Source organism: Homo sapiens, chromosome 5, assembly GCF_000001405.40.
Source record: "Homo sapiens chromosome 5, GRCh38.p14 Primary Assembly".
NCBI lineage: Eukaryota > Metazoa > Chordata > Mammalia > Primates > Hominidae > Homo > Homo sapiens.
The window spans coordinates 162568312-162588256 of NC_000005.10; the positions used below are offsets into that span (position 1 = coordinate 162568312).

Sequence of the window (19945 nt, forward strand, 5' to 3'; positions counted from 1 at the left end):
CTTTGCCTCTGGTGATATTGGTAACTGAAAGAAGTGAAGGGCTAATCTCTAAACTCGCTGTTGCCATGCAACACAGACCATTGGCCTTATCTTTTATTTTCTTACATTTTTGTCCATTACCTCTCAATTGCTGTGCTAAGCTAAAAAAAAATCAGAAATCCTTCTACATAGGTGTTTGTCTGCTTTTCTTGACAAGTAATAATTTGAGGTTCATGTAAGGTGACCCATTTAAGGCAGCCCTTGTTGAATAGCCCAGTGATTTAAATGAGGTCTGTTGGAAATGGATCTTTGGTTCCAAATCGGTATGCCACTGCATTGTGACTTAGTTTACAGCACTTCTTCCTGTTTTAATTCTCTCTTTCTTTTTCTGAATTCCAATCAGAACAAGAACTAGGGCATATTTCATAGTTTACAATTAATTCTGATATCTTTAAAGGGTTTTAGAGTGGGGCTTTTTTTTCCTCTTTGCTTTAAGAGAGAGTAGAGATTGTTACCGTTATGCTTCATGTACTTTTATCAAAACAGAGAGCCTAACCTAAATTATCTTTCTGGCAGGTATTTCAACAGTCTCTTTTTAATGTTCTACTTGGCAGCATTTGTTTTATGGACATACACTGCCCTCTATAAAGATGTACTGCTTATGTTTCCTTGGACAGAGAAATGGAAACAATCTCTATAAGGCACATACAACAAGAAAGTATTTCTTTAATGTATTTTACTACCTTTTTAGAAAGGAAAATAGATGGCTAGCTATTGACTTTTGTTCTTGTTTGTGCTTTTTGTTTTTGTACTACAGTCTTTTAATAGCAACATTCTATCTTCTACTTTGTATCTTTTCTCCACATCTGGCTGTTCACCATTTATATTCAGAATAGATGGAAGAAAAACTTGTAAGTCATTTAACCTTGTTTGCCTAATATCTTTCCTTGATATTGTGTATTAGCTTATGTTATATTAAAAGGCTTTTAATATTATAGACAAGGAAGTACTTGTTTAATTCAGTTTTCAGAAAGCAGAAGGGGCAGTTGCTCTACATCTTAGAAACACGGAATGGAGTGCTTGAATGTAAGTGTGTAATTACACAGCTATGACATCACTATTATACTTTACTATGGAAAAGAAAACATGTTACACCATTAGGATGTACCTCCTCCTGCCTCTTCTTTTCGCTCCTAACTCTCTTAGGAAACCTAGTTGCCTTTATTTCCATTGCAAACAGTGGTCAATATTGAAAGTTGGAAGATGTGGGCCTGGATGTCAAAAAACTTAGCATTCCACTGTGGCACAGGTTCATCCCTCCTTTCCAAGTAGTACTCCTACTGATAATCAGGATTAGAGAGAGAGAAGCCTTCTGGATAGGGTAGACTTCAGGGCACAGTTGCTGGAAGTTGTATTAGTCCGTCCTTGCATTACTATGAGGAAATACCTAAGACTGGGTAATTTATAAAAAATGGAAGTTTAATTGACTCATGGTTCTTCAGGCTATACAGGAAGCATGATGACTTCTGGGGAGGCCTCAGGAAACTTTCAATCACGAAGGAAGGCAAAGGAGAAGCAGGCACGTCTTACATGGCAGCAGCGGGAGGGAGAGAACGAGTGGGATGGTGCTACATACCTTTTAAACAACCAGAGCACATAAGAACTCACTCATTCTACAGTCCCAGGGGAGATAATACTAAACCATTAATAAGAATTCTGCCCCCATTATCTAATCACCTCCCACTAGACTCCACCTTCAGCACTGGGGATTACAATTCAACATGAGATATGGATGGGGGCACAGATCCAAACCACATCAGCAGTTTTCACTCCACACTTTTCTCTGCCTGATGCCTTTCCAGATATTTCACTAACAAAACAAAGTACACCGTGACTAAGTACATATTAACAGTCAAATCTATTCTGTAAGGCATCTCCATGTTCTGGGAAACATTCTAAGAATACACAAGGTATATGCTATGTGTTAACCAATCATAGGAATGAGGTAGGAGACCGGCAAGACTTATTTCCTGGTCCCGACAGGATAAAAGGAAGAAGCCAGGTGGAACTAGGGAATGATGCCAAAGGCAACCTCTAGTTGCCCTAGCTGCTCATCAGCATAACACACTCCCACCAGCGCCATGACGGTGTACAAATGCTGTGGCAACACCTGGGACTCCCTGCCTCTTTTCTGGATGTTTCTGAATAACCCTCCCCTTAATTTGCATGTAATTAAAAGTAGGTATAAATACTGCCAGCCAGGAGCCCCTATGCTGCTAACTCTGGGTGCACTGCCTATGGTTTAGCCCTGATCCACAAGGACCAGTCACTGAGCTGTGCACTGCTGCTTCTACTAACTTGCTTTCTTCCACTGCTGGCTCACTCTTGAATTCTTTCCTGAGCAAAGCCAGGAACCCACCCATGCTAACCCCCGCTTTTGGGACTCGCCTGCCCTGCATCAAGAACATCAATAAAAGAAGAAGAATTCTGAATGCCAAAAAAATGCTACTGCTCACTTTTCCTCAAACTGTCTATGGTGAAAGGTGAGTGTTTGTTGTTTACTTTTAATTTACAGTTCATTGTATGTGGATTGAATTTAAAAATGTAATTCTAAAATATAGTAAAATAAAACACACAAAAAAGGGAACACACAAGCCTGTTGATATGTTATAGCTTTTCAACATTTTCTCTCAATGTTTGCCTTTATTACAAACTCTTAGGAGTTTGTGGATTGGCATTGGTCCACAGAAGACACTTTGAGTAGCATGACAAGTACTGCTCTGAAAAAGATGATGCAGCTGGAGCCCCAAGTCATTTTTATAAGGACATTTTCCTCAATCTGTATTACAGCCCAAAATTCTTGAAGGATATTACATATTCCCATGAGTGCTATTGGCTTACTACAGAAGAGACAACTAGGATCTTTTACGGCTGTGTGTGAAGTTTGAAAAAACTTCCCATATAATTCTGATGTATTCTCCTTGTCCTGCCTTAGAACCATTGTGGTAAGAAACCACAAACAGGTAATGAGATTCTATTGTGTATAAAGCCATGTACTATACAACTATGCACACAAAGACTATGAGACAGAGACCTGAACACTATTCATAAATGTGAGAATGGGGGTAGCAGTGGGACTCATGCAAAAATAACTAATGATTCAAAGTAATTCATAAAAAGTTAATTTGTACATTGGAAGTGTACAGATTAATTATAGTGTCATAGATTTAAATACCAGTTATACCACCTCCTAGTTTTTAAATTTAGGTTTATAATCTCAAATTTATAGGGTTTTGTGAAAATTTAACTACACCGTTATGAAGGGTTAAACAAAAATAAACTTACACTAGGGAAGGGGAGAAGTAGCATAAATACATTCCTTAGAGAAAAATTTTAAAAGATTAAATTATTTTATGTGACACCTCAGATATAATACCTAGCTTTACCTCCAAGGATGTGTGTTGTTCTGCCATACATAAACACTGATAAAGAAAAGGTCAAATGTATAAGTGCCATTACGGATGAATATGTGAGATTACATACATAAAGCAAGTAGTACAGGTGATGCCATATGGTATGTCTTCAAAACATGGTACCCATGTCTAACTTTATTTAAAGTTTTTCCACCAAGATTAACCAAGTGAGATGAGCTAATTTTATATCCACATGAAATAGCACATTGATAAAGCCCTGGTTGCAATTCTGTAAATATTTTTTGATGGATCATTCATCACTTATCATTTTACAAAGTTAGACTAAAAAGATATTTTAGCAAAATTACCTTTCTCAAGATTTGCAAATATTTTTAATATAACTTCAATTAAAAAAGTAATGGCAGAGAAATGTAAGATGGCATAAAGTACTGACAGCCTAAGATAAAATGCAGCAAAATGGATGGAGCTGGAGGCCATAAACCTAAGCGAATTAACTCAGGAACAGAAAATCAAACCCTACATGTTCTCACTTATAAGTGAGAGCTAAACACTGAGCACACATGGACATAAATATGGGAACAATAGACATTCAGGACTACTAGAGGGTTAAGGGGATGGTGAGTTGAAAAACTACCTATTGAGTACTGTGCTCACTACCTGGGTGATGGGATCCATACCCCAAACTTCAGCATCACACAACATTCCCAGGTAAGAAACCTTGGCATGTACCCTTGCATCTAAGATAAAATTTGATATTTAAAAACAAAAAAATGAAAACAGGAAAAAAGTCTTAGAAACTTTAATAAAGCAAATGATAAATGGATTTGATTTTTAAGGCATCCATGTATTTCTAATATATTTATATAATTATGTATCTATTTCTAATGTTTTAAGTCAATTCTAGGTATATTTCAAGAGAAAAAAGAATTGAGAAACTAAAGATGTATGCTCAGAGAAGGAAGATTTTAGTTCAGGCTTGTGATGTTCAAAATACCTCCCACATATTTTAAGTAATACAATTTATTCATATTAGTGGCAATTGATCAGGGAAACAGTTATTCAATATTGACATATTTGGTACAACTTTCTCATTCTGGGCTCACAGCACAAAGAAGTAACATCTGATTATTAATTAAAAATAAGAAAGTACTGAACAGTATTCATTGTAAAACTGTATTTTCATTTCGAATAAAATTTGTATTTTCATTTCGAATAAAATTTATCTGCAAAAGTAATTTTTTTTGAAGCTTTGAGGAAATTAACTACTTTGGCCAAGCTAGAGTTAAGTGTAGCCGCAGCTTTTGTTATCCCTGCTTCATAATATCTAGATTTTGCTCATGTGGGTATAGTTAGAAAATGGGATCTTTTCTCACACAGGGCACTTAAAAAGAAATAGGTACTTGCTTAACAGTAAGTATGCAGATGATGACCAGAACAAAAGGTCAAAACTCGCTACCAAACTAGACTTTGGCATGATAGTCAGTCTCTAGGAGAAAGAAGAGAATATTTACAAGAAATATTCCTTGAGTCCAGGATTATAGGTGGGTAACTAAGGATGCTTGAATTCTACTTAAGAGACTACTTTTAATAATTAAGTAATTTCTAGATGTACCACCACCGTTTCTCAGCTATCGATGTAAATTGGTGTGTACCTTTTATGGAATTTGAATAGCGAAGCATCAAGAGTAGTCTTTCCCCCAAAGACTTTGTTTTGGGGAAAAAAATCTTGGTTATAACATTCATATACAAAATCATTTAGTGGGTCCTAATTATTTGAAAAACTAGAAAAAAATCTCTTTAGCATAGTTTATTTAGACTGTTTAAGCGTGATTCACAAATCTCACTTTACGTACACTCTGCCCCCACTCTTCCTTCTTGTGTACTGTCCTGGTGTCTGGGACTTCACTTGGAGAGGTAAACTGACCTAAATTGCCAACTTCATTTCTTTTTACTTATCTAATCTTAATATTTATCCATCTGCAAACAATACCTTCAGTACTTTTAATGTTTAAAATACGTTTGACAATGCAGGCATAATTGTCATGTTCTATTTCTCTAAATAGAATGTCGCAAAGGCCATATTATATACTTCTAAGTATCTCTCATAGAGCTGAGCAAAATGCTGTGTCTATAATTAAGGCACTTTCACTTATCTCAAGAATACAAGGAAAAAAATAAAGAAATGGAAGAAATGAAGGGGTTTAAGCAGTATTAAGAAAAGGAAAAGAAAAGAGGAAGTGAGAAAAAACAAGGCAAGAGAAGCAAAGGCAAGAAGGACACAAAGAAAAAAAGTAAAAACAAACTTACAAAAAAAAAGTACGTTAGAAAATAAAGAGTAGTCAACACCTCACACAAGAATAGGGTGCCTATTGCCACCACTTAGTAAAATCTTTATGAGTTAGAGGGTAGAGTAGTCACAAGGGTCTTGTCTCCGTATTGGGGAGTTATTAGCACTAAACTAAACACATCTTAAAAACAAGTTGGGTACAGTGCCTCATGCCTGTAATCTCAGGACTTTAGGAGACTGAGGTAGGAGAATTGCTTGAGGCCCAGAGTTTGAGATTAGCCTGGGCAACATAGTGAGACACCTTCTCTACAATAAATAAAAAATTTAAAAATACCCATAAGTGGTGATGTGCACCTGCGGTTCCAGCTGCTTGGGAAGATGAGGTAGGAGGATTGCTTGAGCCCAGAAGTTTGAGGCTGCAGTGAGCTATGATCACACCCCTGCACTCCAGCCCAGACAATAGAGATTAGTGAACTTGAATACGTAGCAACAGATAATGTACAAAATGTAACAAAAAGAGAAAAACAATTTAAAGAAGAAAAAGTGTATCAGTGAGCTGTGAGGCAACATTAAGATGCATTACATATAAAATTGTAGTCTTCAAAGAAAGGAGCAGTAAAATATTTGAAGAAATAATGTCTCCAAATTTTCCAAAAAGCTCTATGAAACCTAAGCAGAAGAAACAGAAAGAAAACTGTATCAAAGCACTTCAGAAACAAATTATTCAAATTAGTGATAAAAATGTTAATGTTTAAGAATTTTTTTAATTAAAAAAATGGTGAGTTAAGTATAGAGGAAAGAAAAGATAAAAATAACAGGATTTACTATCATAATCAATCTAAGCAAGAAGATAGTAAAGCATTATGTTTAAAGTACTGAAGCCATATATCTAGCAAATAGAATTTTTAAAAGAGTTAACATATGTTTCCAAAAAAGACCATGAAATCAAGAATTTTTCAGACTTAGAAACACTGAAAAAAATTATTTTTTAACAAACCAGCCTTACAAGAGACATTAAAGGAAGTCCTTTGGGCAGAAAAATAAGATACCTAATGGAAATATAGAAATGCAAAAGGAGTAAGGAACACTGGAAATAGAAACGAGAAAAAATATATTATTGGTTTTCTTGTTATGTAAATTCCTTTACAAAGTAAATAACAAAATTTTACACTAAATAACAATGGTTTGCAGTTTTTGTACTACATAAAAGTAAAATGAATGACAACAATAACATAAAGGTGGGAATTGAGAAATGAAACTATTTAATGTGAAATTCTTATACTTTGCAAGAAGAAATATAGTATCATTTGAAGACTATCTGTGAAGGATCCAATATATATTATAAACTCAGCAACTGCTAACTTTGCAAAAGAAAGAGTTGCAGCTGAATCAACAATGGAGATAAAATGGATAAATTTAAATTTTTCTCTGAAGAAAGCAAAAAAAAAAAAAGCAACATGGAGACAAGGATCATACAAGACATACAGAAAAAAATAATGAGAAGAGAGATTTAAGCCTAACCATAGCAATAATCATTAAATATAAATGGTCTAAGTACTCCAATTAAAGGTGAGAGGTTTTCAGATTAGATAGACCCATCTATATGCTGCCTATGAGAAGCATTTTCTTGTAAAGACACAAATTAGTTAAAAGTTAAAGGATATAAAAAGCTGTATCATCCGGGCATGATGGCTCATGCCTGTAATCCCAGCACTTTGGGAGTCTGAGGCGGGCAGATCACTGGAGGTCAGGAATTCGAGACCAGACTGGCCAACATGGTGAAACCCCAACTCTACTAAAAATACAAAAATTAGCTGGGCGTGGTGGTGGATGCCTATAATCCCAGCTACTCAGGAGGCTGAGATGGGAGAATTGTTTGAACCCAGGAGGCAAAAGTTGCAGTGAGCCAAGATCAAGCCATTGCACTCCAGCCTGGGCAACAGGGCAAGACTCTGTCTCAAAATAAATAAAAAATAAAAAAATAAAAAAGCTGTATCTTACTAAAATTAATTAAAGTGGAAATGATTATATAATATCAGATAAAGTATATTTTGGAGCAAAAAATGGTACCAAATACAATCATTTTATAAGAAAGGTATCAATTTTTCAAGAGGACATCACCATCCTGAACATTTTGTACCTAATAACAGAGCTTTTAAAAAACTGATAACATTTCAAGGAGAAAAAGACAAGTTTGTAATTATAGAAAGAGATTTCAATACCCCACTGTATCCCCCGACTGTATTTCAGTAAATGATAGAACAAGAATACAGAAAATCATGAAGCATATAAAATTTTGAAGACATTTGATAAATATTGGATATGGTGAAAGTTGTTATCCCACCATCCAATATTTATTGTAAATTTTCAGCATTTGAGAGCATGAATAGCAAACTTTGTTTATTGGGATATCTGTCTGCTTTGGAGAAAACAGAGAACACACTGTTATTTTATTTTTCCCCAATTTTAATCCAGTTACAGAGAGATTATGTGTCACGTTCTCCAATTTAAATAGTAGCTAAAGAAAACAATAATGATTTGAGTAGTTAAAACGAAAGACTTTTGCCAGGCATGGTGGCTCACACTTGTAATCCCAGCACTTTGGGAGGCTGAGGCAGGTAGATCACTTGAGGACAGGAGACTACGAGCCTGGCCATTATGGCAAAACCTCATCTCTACTAAAAATACAAAAATTAGCCAGGTGTCATGGCTCATGCCTGTAATTCCAGCTACTTGGGAGGCTGAGGCAGGAGAATTGCCTGAACCTGGGAGGCAGAGGTTGCAGTGAGCTGAGATTGCCCCATTGCACTCCAGCCTGGGTGACAGGGCAAGACTCTGACTCAAAAAAAGAAAAAAAATGACTTTTAAAAGTTAAGATAAGATGCTTATAAAACCTCATACTTCTCATTTTATATCATGTCTCAACATTTTCAACCTGTTTTCTCTTGTTTAGTTTATAAAACAACCAAATGAAACCTTTCAGAATATACAACTAAATCAGCAATATTACTGAGAATTTAATCCTTTTCTCCAAAGTCCTGTTCTGTGCCTTCTACACTTTCTTTACATTACCACTGCTACACTCCCATATATTTTCCCTTGTTTTTTTTTTTTTTTTTGGAAATGTAGTCTCGCTGTGTCACCCAGGCTGGAGTGCAGTGGTGCAATCTGGGCTATCTGCAACCTCCACCTACTCAGTTTGAGCAATTCTCTTGCCTCATCCAGAGTAGCTGAGGCTACAGGCATATGCCATCATGCCCAGCTAATTTTTGTATTTTTAGTAGAGGTGAGATTTCACCATACTGGCCAGGCTGGTCTCAAACTCCTGGCCTCAGGTGATACACCCACCTCGGCCTCCCAAAGTGCTGGGATTACACACCTGAGCCACCATGCCCAGCCAATATTTTCAGTGAGTCAGTTTTTAAAACCTTTTTTTGTAATCAGGCACTGAAGAGTATTCTAGGATTAATTTTCTGAACCATTCACCAAGAAATGCAGGATTTAGAATTTGTGGGTTTTGTTAGTAAAAAGTGTATAAGTTTGAATGTTTCTACGTTTATGTATGCATGTGTGTACATGTTTTTGCGTAGCTAATCTCTGAATACATTGACCAAAATCTCTTAAGAATTACTATTTCTTTGGTTATATTTGAGTACTGACAGAGTTCACCAATTTTTTTGTTATTTTCCCTTCAGAAAGGAGTTGATACTATATTTAACTCCATAGTCAAACAAATTGAGACATCATTGTCAAATTAAATGTAAAACAATAAAAATTTGGAGCTTGTGCTTTGAGAAAGGTGTATAGCTAAGAAATGGTATTTGTGTAATTCCATTTATAATTTATGTTTGTCTTTGTGACTTTTAAAGGATAGAGCAATATACAGAGAGATATTTTTATATATATAAAAGATATATATATGAACATCTTTTATAGATATATAGGTAAAAGATATCTCTATCTCTGTCGGTCGATCTATCTATCTACCTATCTGTCTATCTGTAAGTTAAAACATCAACTACAGAGAGGAGCCAAGATGGCCGAATAGGAACAGCTCTGGTCTACAGCTCCCAGCGTGAGTGAGGCAGAAGACGGGTGATTGCTGCATTTCCATCTGAGGTACCAGGTTCATCTCACTAAGGAGTGCCAGACAGTGGGTGCACGACAGTGGGTGCAGCGCACCGTGCGCGAGCTGAAGCAGGGTGAGGCATTGCCTCACTCGGGAAGTGCAAGGGGTGAGGGAGTTCCTTTTCCTGGTCAAGGAAAGGGGTGACAGAGGGCACCTGGAAAATCGGGCCACTCCCACCCAAATACTGCGCTTTTCCGATGGGCTTAGGAAAGGGCGCACCAGGAGATTATATCCTGCACGTGGCTTGGAGGGTCCTACGCCCACGGAGTCTCGCTGATTGCTAGTACAGCAGTCTGAGATCAAACTGCAAGGCGGCAGTGAGGCTGGGGGATGGACGCCCGCCATTGCCCAGGCTTGCTTAGGTAAACAAAGCAGCCCTGAAGCTCCAACTGGGTGGAGGCTACCACAGCTCAAGGAGGCCTGCCTGCCTCTGTAGGCTCCACTTCTGGGGGCAGGGCACAGACAAACAAAAAGACAGCAGTAACCTCTGCAGACTTAAATGTCCCTGTCTGACAGCTTTGAGGAGAGCAGTGGTTCTCCCAGCACGCAGCTGGAGATCTGAGAACGGGCAGACTGCCTCCTCAAGTGGGTCCCTGACCCCTGACCCCCGAGCAGGCTAACTGGGAGGCATCCCCCAGTAGGGGCAGACTGACACCTCACATGGCCGGGTACTCCTCTGAGACAAAACTTCCAGAGGAACAATCAGACAGCAGCATTCGCGGATCACAAAAATCCGCGCAGTTCTGCAGACACCGCTGCTGATACTCAGGCAAACAGGGTCTGGAGTGGACCTCTAGCAAACTCCAACAGACCTGCAGCTGAGGGTCCTGTCTGTTAGAAGGAAAACTAACAAACAGAAAGGACATCCACAGCAAAAAACCCATCTGTACATCACCATCATCAAAGACCAAAAGTAGATAAAACCACAAAGATGGGGAAAAAGCAGAGCAGAAAAACTGGAAACTCTAAAAAGCAGAGTGCCTCTCCTCCTCCAAAGGAACACAGTTCCTCACCAGCAATGGAACAAAGCTAGATGGAGAATGACTTTGACGAGTTGAGAGAAGAAGGCTTCAGACGATCAAACTACTACGAGCTACAGGAGGAAATTCAAACCAAAGGCAAAGAAGTTGAAAACTTTGAAAAAAATTTAGACGAATGTATAACTAGAATAACCAATACAGAGAAGTGCTTAAAGGAGCTGATGGAGCTGAAAGCCAAGGCTCGAGAACTACGTGAAGAATGCAGAAGGCTCAGGAGCCGATGCGATCAACTGGAAGAAAAGGTATCAATGATGGAAGATGAAATGAATGAAATGAAGCGAGAAGGGAAGTTTAGAGAAAAAAGAATAAAAAGAAATGAACAAAGCCTCCAAGAAATATGGGACTATGTGAAAAGACCAAATCTGTGTCTCATTGGTGTACCTGAAAGTGATGGGGAGAATGGAACCAAGTTGGAAAACACTCTGCAGGATATTATCCAGGAGAACTTCCCCAATCTAGCAAGGCAGGCCAACGTTCAGATTCAGGAAATACAGAGAACGCCACAAAGATACTCCTCGAGAAGAGCAACTCCAAGACACATAATTGTCAGATTCACCAAAGTTGAAATGAAGGAAAAAATGTTAAGGGCAGCCAGAGAGAAAGGTTGGGTTACCCACAAAGGGAAGCCCATCAGACTAACAGCGGATCTCTCAGCAGAAACTCTACAAGCCAGAAGAGAGTGGGGGCCAATATTCAACATTCTTAAAGAAAAGAATTTTCAACCCAGAATTTCATATCCAGCCAAACTAAGCTTCATAAGGGAAGGAGAAATAAAATACTTTACAGACAAGCAAACGCTGAGAGATTTTGTCACCACCAGGCCTGCCCTAAAAGAGCTCCTGAAGGAAGCACTAAACATGAAAAGGCACAACCAGTACCAGCTGCTGCAAAATCATGCCAAAATGTAAAGACCATGGAGATTAGGAAGAAACTGCATCAACTAATGAGCAAAATCACCAGCTACCATCATAATGACAGGATCAAATTCACACATAACAATATTAACTTTAAATGTAAATGGACTAATTGCTCCAATTAAAAGACACAGCCTGGCAAATTGGATAAAGAGTCAAGACCCATCAGTGTGCTGTATTCAGGAAACCCATCTCACATGCAGAGACACACATAGGCCCAAAATAAAAGGATGGAGGAAGATCTACCAAGCAAATGGAAAACAAAAAAAGGCAGGGGTTGCAATCCTAGTCTCTGATAAAACAGATTTTAAACCAACAAAGATCAAAAGAGACCAAGAAGGCCATTACATAATGGCAAAGGGATCAATTCAACAAGAAGAGCTAACTATCCTAAATATATATGCGCCCAATACAGGAGCATCCAGATTCATAAAGCAAGTCCTGAGTGACCTACAAGGAGACTTAGACTCCCACACAATAATAATGGGAGACTTTAACACCCCACTGTCAACATTAGACAGATCAATGAGACAGAAAGTTAACAAGGATTCCCAGGAATTAACTCAGCTCTGCAACAAGCGGATGTAATAGACATCTACAGAACGCTCCACCCCAAGTCAACAGAATATTCATTTTTTTCAGCACCACACCACACCTATTCCAAAATTGACCACATAGTTGGAAGTAAAGCACTCCTCAGCAAATGTAAAACAACAGCAATTATAACAAACTGCCTCTCAGACCACAGTGTAATCAAACTAGAACTCAGGATTAAGAAACTCACTCAAAACCGCTCAACTACATGGAAACTGAACAACCTGCTCCTGAATGACTACTGGGTACATAACGAAATGAAGGCAGAAATAAAGATGTTCTTTGAAAACAACGAGAACAAAGACACAACATACCAGAATCTCTGGGTCACATTCAAAGCAGTGTGTAGAGGGAAATTTATAGCACTAAATGCCCACAAGAGAAAGCAGGAAAGATCTAAAATTGACACCCCAACATCACAATTAAAAGAACTAGAAAAGCAAGAGCAAACACATTCAAAAGCTAGCAGAAGGCAAGAAATAACTAAAATCAGAGCAGAACTGAAGGAAATAGAGACACAAAAAACCCTTCAAAAAATTAATGAATCCAGGAGCTGGTTTTTTGAAAGGATCAACAAAATTCATAGACCGCTAGCAAGACTAATAAAGAAGAAAAGAGAGAAGAATCAAATAGACTCAATAAAAAATGATAAAGGGGATATCACCACCGATCCTACAGAAATATAAACTACCATCAGAGAATACTACAAACACCTCTACGCAAATAAACTAGAAAATCTAGAAGAAATGGATAAATTCCTTGACACATACACCCTCCCAAGACTAAACCAGGAAGAAGTTGAATCTCTGAATAGACCAATAACAGGCTCTGAAATTGTGGCAATAATCAATAGCTTACCAACCAAAAAGAGTCCAGGACCAGACGGATTCACAGCCAAATTCTACCAGGGTACAAGGAGGAACTGGTACCATTCCTTCTGAAACTATTCCAATCAATAGAAAAAGAGGGAATCCTCTCTAACTCATTTTATGAGGCCAGCATCATCCTGATACCAAAGCTGGGCAGAGACACAACCAAAAAAGAGAATTTTAGACCAATATCTTTGATGAACATTGATGCAAAAATCCTCAATAAAATACTGGCAAACCGAATCCAGCAACACATCAAAAAGCTTATCCACCATGATCAAGTGGGCTTCATCCCTGGGATGCAAGGCTGGTTCAATACATACAAATCAATAAATGTAATCCAGCATATAAACAGAACCAAAAACAAAAACCACATGATTATCTCAATAGATGCAGAAAAGGCCTTTGACAAAATTCAACAACTCTTCATGCTAAAAACTCTCAATAAATTAGGTATTGATGGGACGTATCTCAAAATAATAAGAGCTATCTACGACAGACCCACAGCCAATATCATACTGAATGGGCAAAAACTGGAAGCATTCCCTTTGAAAACTGGCACAAGACAGGGATGCCCTTTCTCACCACTCCTATTCAACATAGTGTTGGAAGTTCTGGCCAGGGCAATCAGGCAGGAGAAGGAAATAAAGGGTATTCAATTAGGAAAAGAGGAAGTCAAATTGTCCCTGTTTGCAGATGACATGATTGTATATCTAGAAAACCCCATTGTCTCAGCCCAAAATCTCCTGAAGCTGATAAGCAACTTCAGCAAAGTCTCAGGATACAAAATCAATGTACAAAAATCACAAGCATTCTTATACACCAATAACAGACAAACAGAGAGCAAAATCATGAGTTAACTACCATTCACAATTGCTTCAAAGAGCATAAAATACCTAGGAATCCAACTTACAAGGGACGTGAAGGACCTCTTCAAGGAGAACTACAAACCACTGCTCAATAAAATAAAAGAGGATACAAACAAATGGAAGAACATTCCATGCTCATGGGTAGGAAGAATCAATATCATGAAAATGGCCATACTGCCCAAGGTAATTTATAGATTCAATGCCATCCCCATCAAGCTACCAATGACTTTCTTCACAGAACTGGAAAAAACTACTTTAAAGTTCATATGGAAACAAAAAGGAGCCCGCATCGCCAATTCAATCCTAAGCCAAAAGAACAAAGCTGGAGGCATCATGCTACCTGACTTCAAACTATACTACAAGGCTACAGTAACCAAAACAGCATGGTACTGGTACCAAAACAGAGATATAGATCAATGGAACAGAACAGAGCCCTCAGAAATAACGCCGCATTTCTACAACTATCTGATCTTTGACAAACCTGACAAAAACAAGCAATGGGGAAAGGATTCCCTATTTAATAAATGGTGCTGGGAAAACTGGCTAGCCATATGTAGAAAGCAGAAATTGGATCCCTTCCTTACACCTTATACAAAAATTAATTCAAGATGGATTAAAGGCTTAAACATTAGACCTAAAACCATAAAAACCCTAGAAGAAAACCTAGGCATTACCATTCAGGACATAGGCATGGGCAAGGACTTCATGTCTAAAACACGAAAAGCAATGGCAACAAAAGCCAAAATTGACAAATGGGATCTAATTAAACTAAAGAGCTTCTGCACAGCAAAAGAAACTACCATCAGAGTGAACAGGCAACCTAAAAAATGGGAGAAAATTTTCGCAACCTACTCGTCTGACAAAGGGCTAGTATCCAGAATCTACAATGAACTCAAACAAATTTACAAGAAAAAAACAACCCCATCAAAAAGTGGGTGAAGGATATGAACAGACACTTCTCAAAAGAAGACATTTATGCAGCCAAAAGATACATGAAAAAATGTTCATCATCACTGGCCATCAGAGAAATGCAATTCAAAACCACAATGAGATACCATCTCACACCAGTTAGAATGGCAATCATTAAAAAGTCAGAAAACAACAGGTGCTGGAGAGGATGTGGAGAAATAGGAACACTTTTACACTGTTGGTGGGACTGTAAACTAGTTCAACCATTGTGGAAGTCAGTGTGGCGATTACTCAGAGATCTAGAACTAGAAATACCATTTGACCCAGCAATCCCATTACTGGGTATATACCCAAAGGACTATAAATCATGCTGCTATAAAGACACATGCAAACGTATTTTTATTGTGGCACTATTTGCAATAGCAAAGACTTGGAACCAATCCAAATGTCCAACAATGATAGACTGGATTAAGAAAATGTGGCACATATACACCATGGAATACTATGCAGCCATAAAAAATGATGAGTTCATGTCCTTTGTAGGGACATGGATGAAATTGGAAATCATCATTCTCAGTAAACTATCGCAAGAACAAAAAACCAAGCACCGCATGTTCTCACTCATAGATGGGAATTGAACAATGAGAACACGTGGACACAGGAAGGGGAACATCACACTCTGCGGACTGTTGTGGGGTGGGGGGAGGGGGGACGGATAGCATTAGGAGATATACCTAATGCTAAATGATGAGTTAATGGGTGCAGCACACCAGCATGGCACATGTATACATATGTAACTAACCGGCACATTGTGGACATGTACCCTAAAACTTAAAGTATAATAATAAAAATTAAAAAAAAATTAAAAAAAAAAACATCAACTACAAAGGTTAACAACATGAAAAATAAATTTCCTATTTCTGTGTTTTGAGTTTCCTGGTTTCTGTACTCAGGGACAAAACTTTATCTATGCCTCAATTTTCTCAACTATAAAATTGAGATAATTACCACTTTCATCCCATTGATTTAAATTATCATTTGGTGTAACTTTCTTCCAGCTTGAAGAATTTCCTTTAGGCCACATCTTCTGACAATGAAGTATTCCAATTTTTATCAGAAATATCTTTATTTTACTTTTCCTTTTAAAAGGTATTTCTCTCGATAAATAATTTTCCTTTTACAGTTATTTTCTTTCAGCATTTTAAAGATGTTCCACTCTCATTTGTCTATTAATGTTTCTGATAAGTCATTCCTAATTTGAATAACTCTTCTCCTATTTGTAATATCTCAATATTCTTTGGTGACTTTCAGGATTTTCTCTTTATCTTTGGATATCAATATTTTAATATCACATGTCCAGGTATATACTTGTTATTGCATTTATACTTCTAGACTATTGTATTGAGCTTCTTGAATCTATAAATGAATGTCTGTTACCAAATCTGTAACATTTTCAACCATTATTTCTTCATGTTTTTCTTCCTTAATGTCCATGATCTGTCTCTGGTCCTTCCAGAATTCCAATCACACCTATAATAGATTTCACTCAATATTGTCATACAGGCTTCTAAGACACTTCTTTTTTTTTCTATTTTTTTCTTTAGTTCATAAGATTATATGATTTCTTTCTATCCACAAGATCATTGGTTATTTTATTTCTGCCATTGATATTATTTTCTTAACCCTTTCCAATTAGTTTTATATCAGTTATTGTGCTTTTCAGCTCTAGAATTTTTATTTCATTTTGTTTTGTTTCTATATTTGTGTTGATAGTCTGTCTCTACTTATTATGCATGTATTTTCTTTTAAATACTTAAATATGTTTATAGTAGGGTTTTTTAAAGTCCTTTTGTTTTCATTATAATGTGTAATTATCTCAGGGTTGTTTTCTTTGAATGTTTATTTTCTTGAGTATGGGTCATATATTTCTGTTTCATCATATGTTCAGTAGTTTCTAATTGTATGTTGGATTTTACAAATACTAAGTTTTATAAAATCTGCATTTTGATACATCCTCTGTAGATTTGTTTTTACAGACAGTTGACTTGGTTGGACTCAAATTCCATTTTTATCTGCTCTGAAGTGGGAAGTCAGTGAAATCTCTGCAAAGTTCGTTCAGCTTCTGGCTGCTACTTTTTCACTATACTCTTTAGGGTGTCACCTTTGCATACATAGGTTAGTATTCATTCAATGCTTTGGGTGGATTTTAAATGTAGACTTTTCGTCTTTTATGGCTCTTCCTCCTGAATACCTCCACTCTCTCATTCTTACTTGCTGGCTATTCTTTCAAATTCAATACTTTCCAACCTCAAACTAATAAACAGCATCTCTCTGCTTCTCTAGCAGAATCGAAATATGACAGTTTATCTTTTCAGATGTATGTTCCTCTAATTTCTCCCAACTTTTGGTCACTTTTCAATACCTTCAAATAGCTACTTCTTATATTTTGTTGAGATTGTATAATTTTTTTCTTGCAATAAGTTTGGCCTAGTTACTTCTCCATTTCTAGAAGCCAGAAAATTTACTCTTCCATTCCTGGAAGGCAAAGGTCTATTTCAGGTATTTCAAAATTAAAGTGACAAGTCAATTTTCACATCTTTCTTATGTGACTTGTATATAGTAAATGTGGTAATCTCTTAAAGACCAAAATGTGAGTTATTTTGCATAGTGCCTTTGTGCATGTGTATATTAAATATTTGTTGAATGCATAAACATATTAATTAGATGTTTAAGAATCATGCATTCTTATTCATTTTTTCACAAGACTAACTATTTTCTGCTACAGTCTATGACACTTGGGATATAGATTTTGTTTGATTCACTGATATCTCCTCCAGTAATATATAAAGTGATCAAAACAAGACCATTAAAATACATTTGAATTTGCCACAAAAATAGAGATTTTCATATGATCTATTGTTTTTAGTTTTCTCTGCTTTATTTTTCACTACAAAGTTAACAATATAGAATTATGACTGTTTTTAGTTGGACTGCAGTCTCTGAGCAGTTACAAGGAAAGTTTGAAAGCAAGGAATAGAGATAAAAAGAAGTTTTTTAAAATAGTAGATCCATGAAGATAATTCAAGACAATCCAGAAAATAGAGAAAGAATTTTTATCCATTTTAAAGTTTGATGGTAATTCCAGAATTTTCTCATTTTTATACTCTTTGAAAATTGTCAATTACTAGATTTAATTAAGGCAAAATGTAAAGTCAATATGTGTGCATATTTTTAAATGATAAAACACATTACAAGACTTCAATTATGACTTTAAGTTAGTTTTCTCTGCACAAATTTGCAGTGCTGGTCAGAATGGTATTTGAAGCCAGACAAAAGGGTCAGCTCGGCCGGGCGCGATGGCTCATGCCTTTAATCCCAGAACTTTGGGAGGCCAAGACAAGCGGATCACCTGAAGTCAGGAATTTGAGACCAGCCCGACCAACATGGAGAAACCCCGTCTCTACTAAAAATACAAAATTAACCAGGCGTGGTGGTGCATGCTTGTAATCCCAGCTACTCAGGAGGCTGAAGCAGGAGAATCGCTTGAGCCCGGGAGGCGGAAGTTGCCATGAGCCGAGATCACACCATTGCACTCCAGCCTGGGCAACAAGAGCGAAACTCCTTCTCAAAAAAAAAAAAAAGAAAGTCAGAGCGACTTCCTATACTTGTTTAATAATTTTTTGTGTATTTACATATATCTATATACACACACATAAAAACAGACTTAAATAAACCCATTCTGTCATTAGCCAAAGACCATATACAGATGCAAGATGTTATTGAAATAAATGAGAAAACATATGATAGGGTTACACATCAGAAATGAGTTTATTATATATTATTCAAGTATATATGATTGTTCTGTAAATCTTTTTAGTATTCCGTATACTCAGTTTTAAAGTAGAATCTCAGCACTTTTTTTTTATATGTAGCCATGGGTTAATAAGTGCTGAAAAATAGTTTATGGGGAAGGCATTTAAATTGAATACAGGAAAAGTTTTTGTTTGCTAATTTCATAATGTTTTTAGGAGACAGTTCTACAATTGCAGCATTCAGAAGATTAAAGAGACACTTTATCAGAGAGCAAGAAAATGTTAACCAGAAAACAGTACCTCAGAAGAAAATTAAATATAAAAATTCCATTTACCTTGATAAAATTTATCAGTAACTCAATGATAAGTGCAAACAAGGGAGCTAAAGATATGAAAGAGATTGTTTAAGAATTTTGGTATAGGCAATATATTGCAAAGGCAGAGAGTTAGCACAGCTCTATAAAATGCACCCCTAAGAAACAGCAAAATTGTAAAAGTAGGCATCAGCACTGATAATACTGATAATAAACTGCTGCAAGCACTAAAATGGAAGTTTAAAATTGGAGGAATGAACAAAATAATCCATAGAAAGCTGTTTGGTTTATTGAAACTGGTATGCCCTATATACCTTGGAGACATGTACCTGAAGGCCTTGAAAGATGCATTTCTTTTTTATTCTTTTATTTTTTTGATTTCCAACTTTAAGTCAAGGGGTACATGTGCCACGGTGGTTTGCTGCACAGATCACCCAATCACCTAGCATCCATTAGCTATTTTTCCTGATATCCTCCCTCCTCCCACCCCCACCCTCCAACAGACACCAGTGTTTGTTGTTCCCATGTGTCCATATGTTCTCATCATTCAGCTCCCACTTATAAGTTAGAACATGTGGTATTTGGCTTTCTGTTCCTGTATTAGTTTGCTGAGGGTAATGGCATCCAGCTACATCCATGTCCTTACAAAGGATATGATCTCATTCCATTTTATGGCTGCATAGTATCCTATAGTGTATGTGTCCCACATTTTCTTTATCCAGTCTATCATTGATGGGCATTTAGGTTGATTCCATGTCTTTGCTCTTATGAATAGTGCTGCATTGGACACACACA

General features: G+C 36.9%; 1 long non-coding RNA gene across 1 annotated transcript in view; it reads right to left on the reverse strand.

Moving 5' to 3' along the window:
- LOC105377697 (uncharacterized) overlaps positions 1–19945 on the reverse strand; it is a 56743-nt gene that overhangs the window by 33369 nt on the left and 3429 nt on the right. The gene's annotated exons all lie outside the window — the stretch shown is intronic.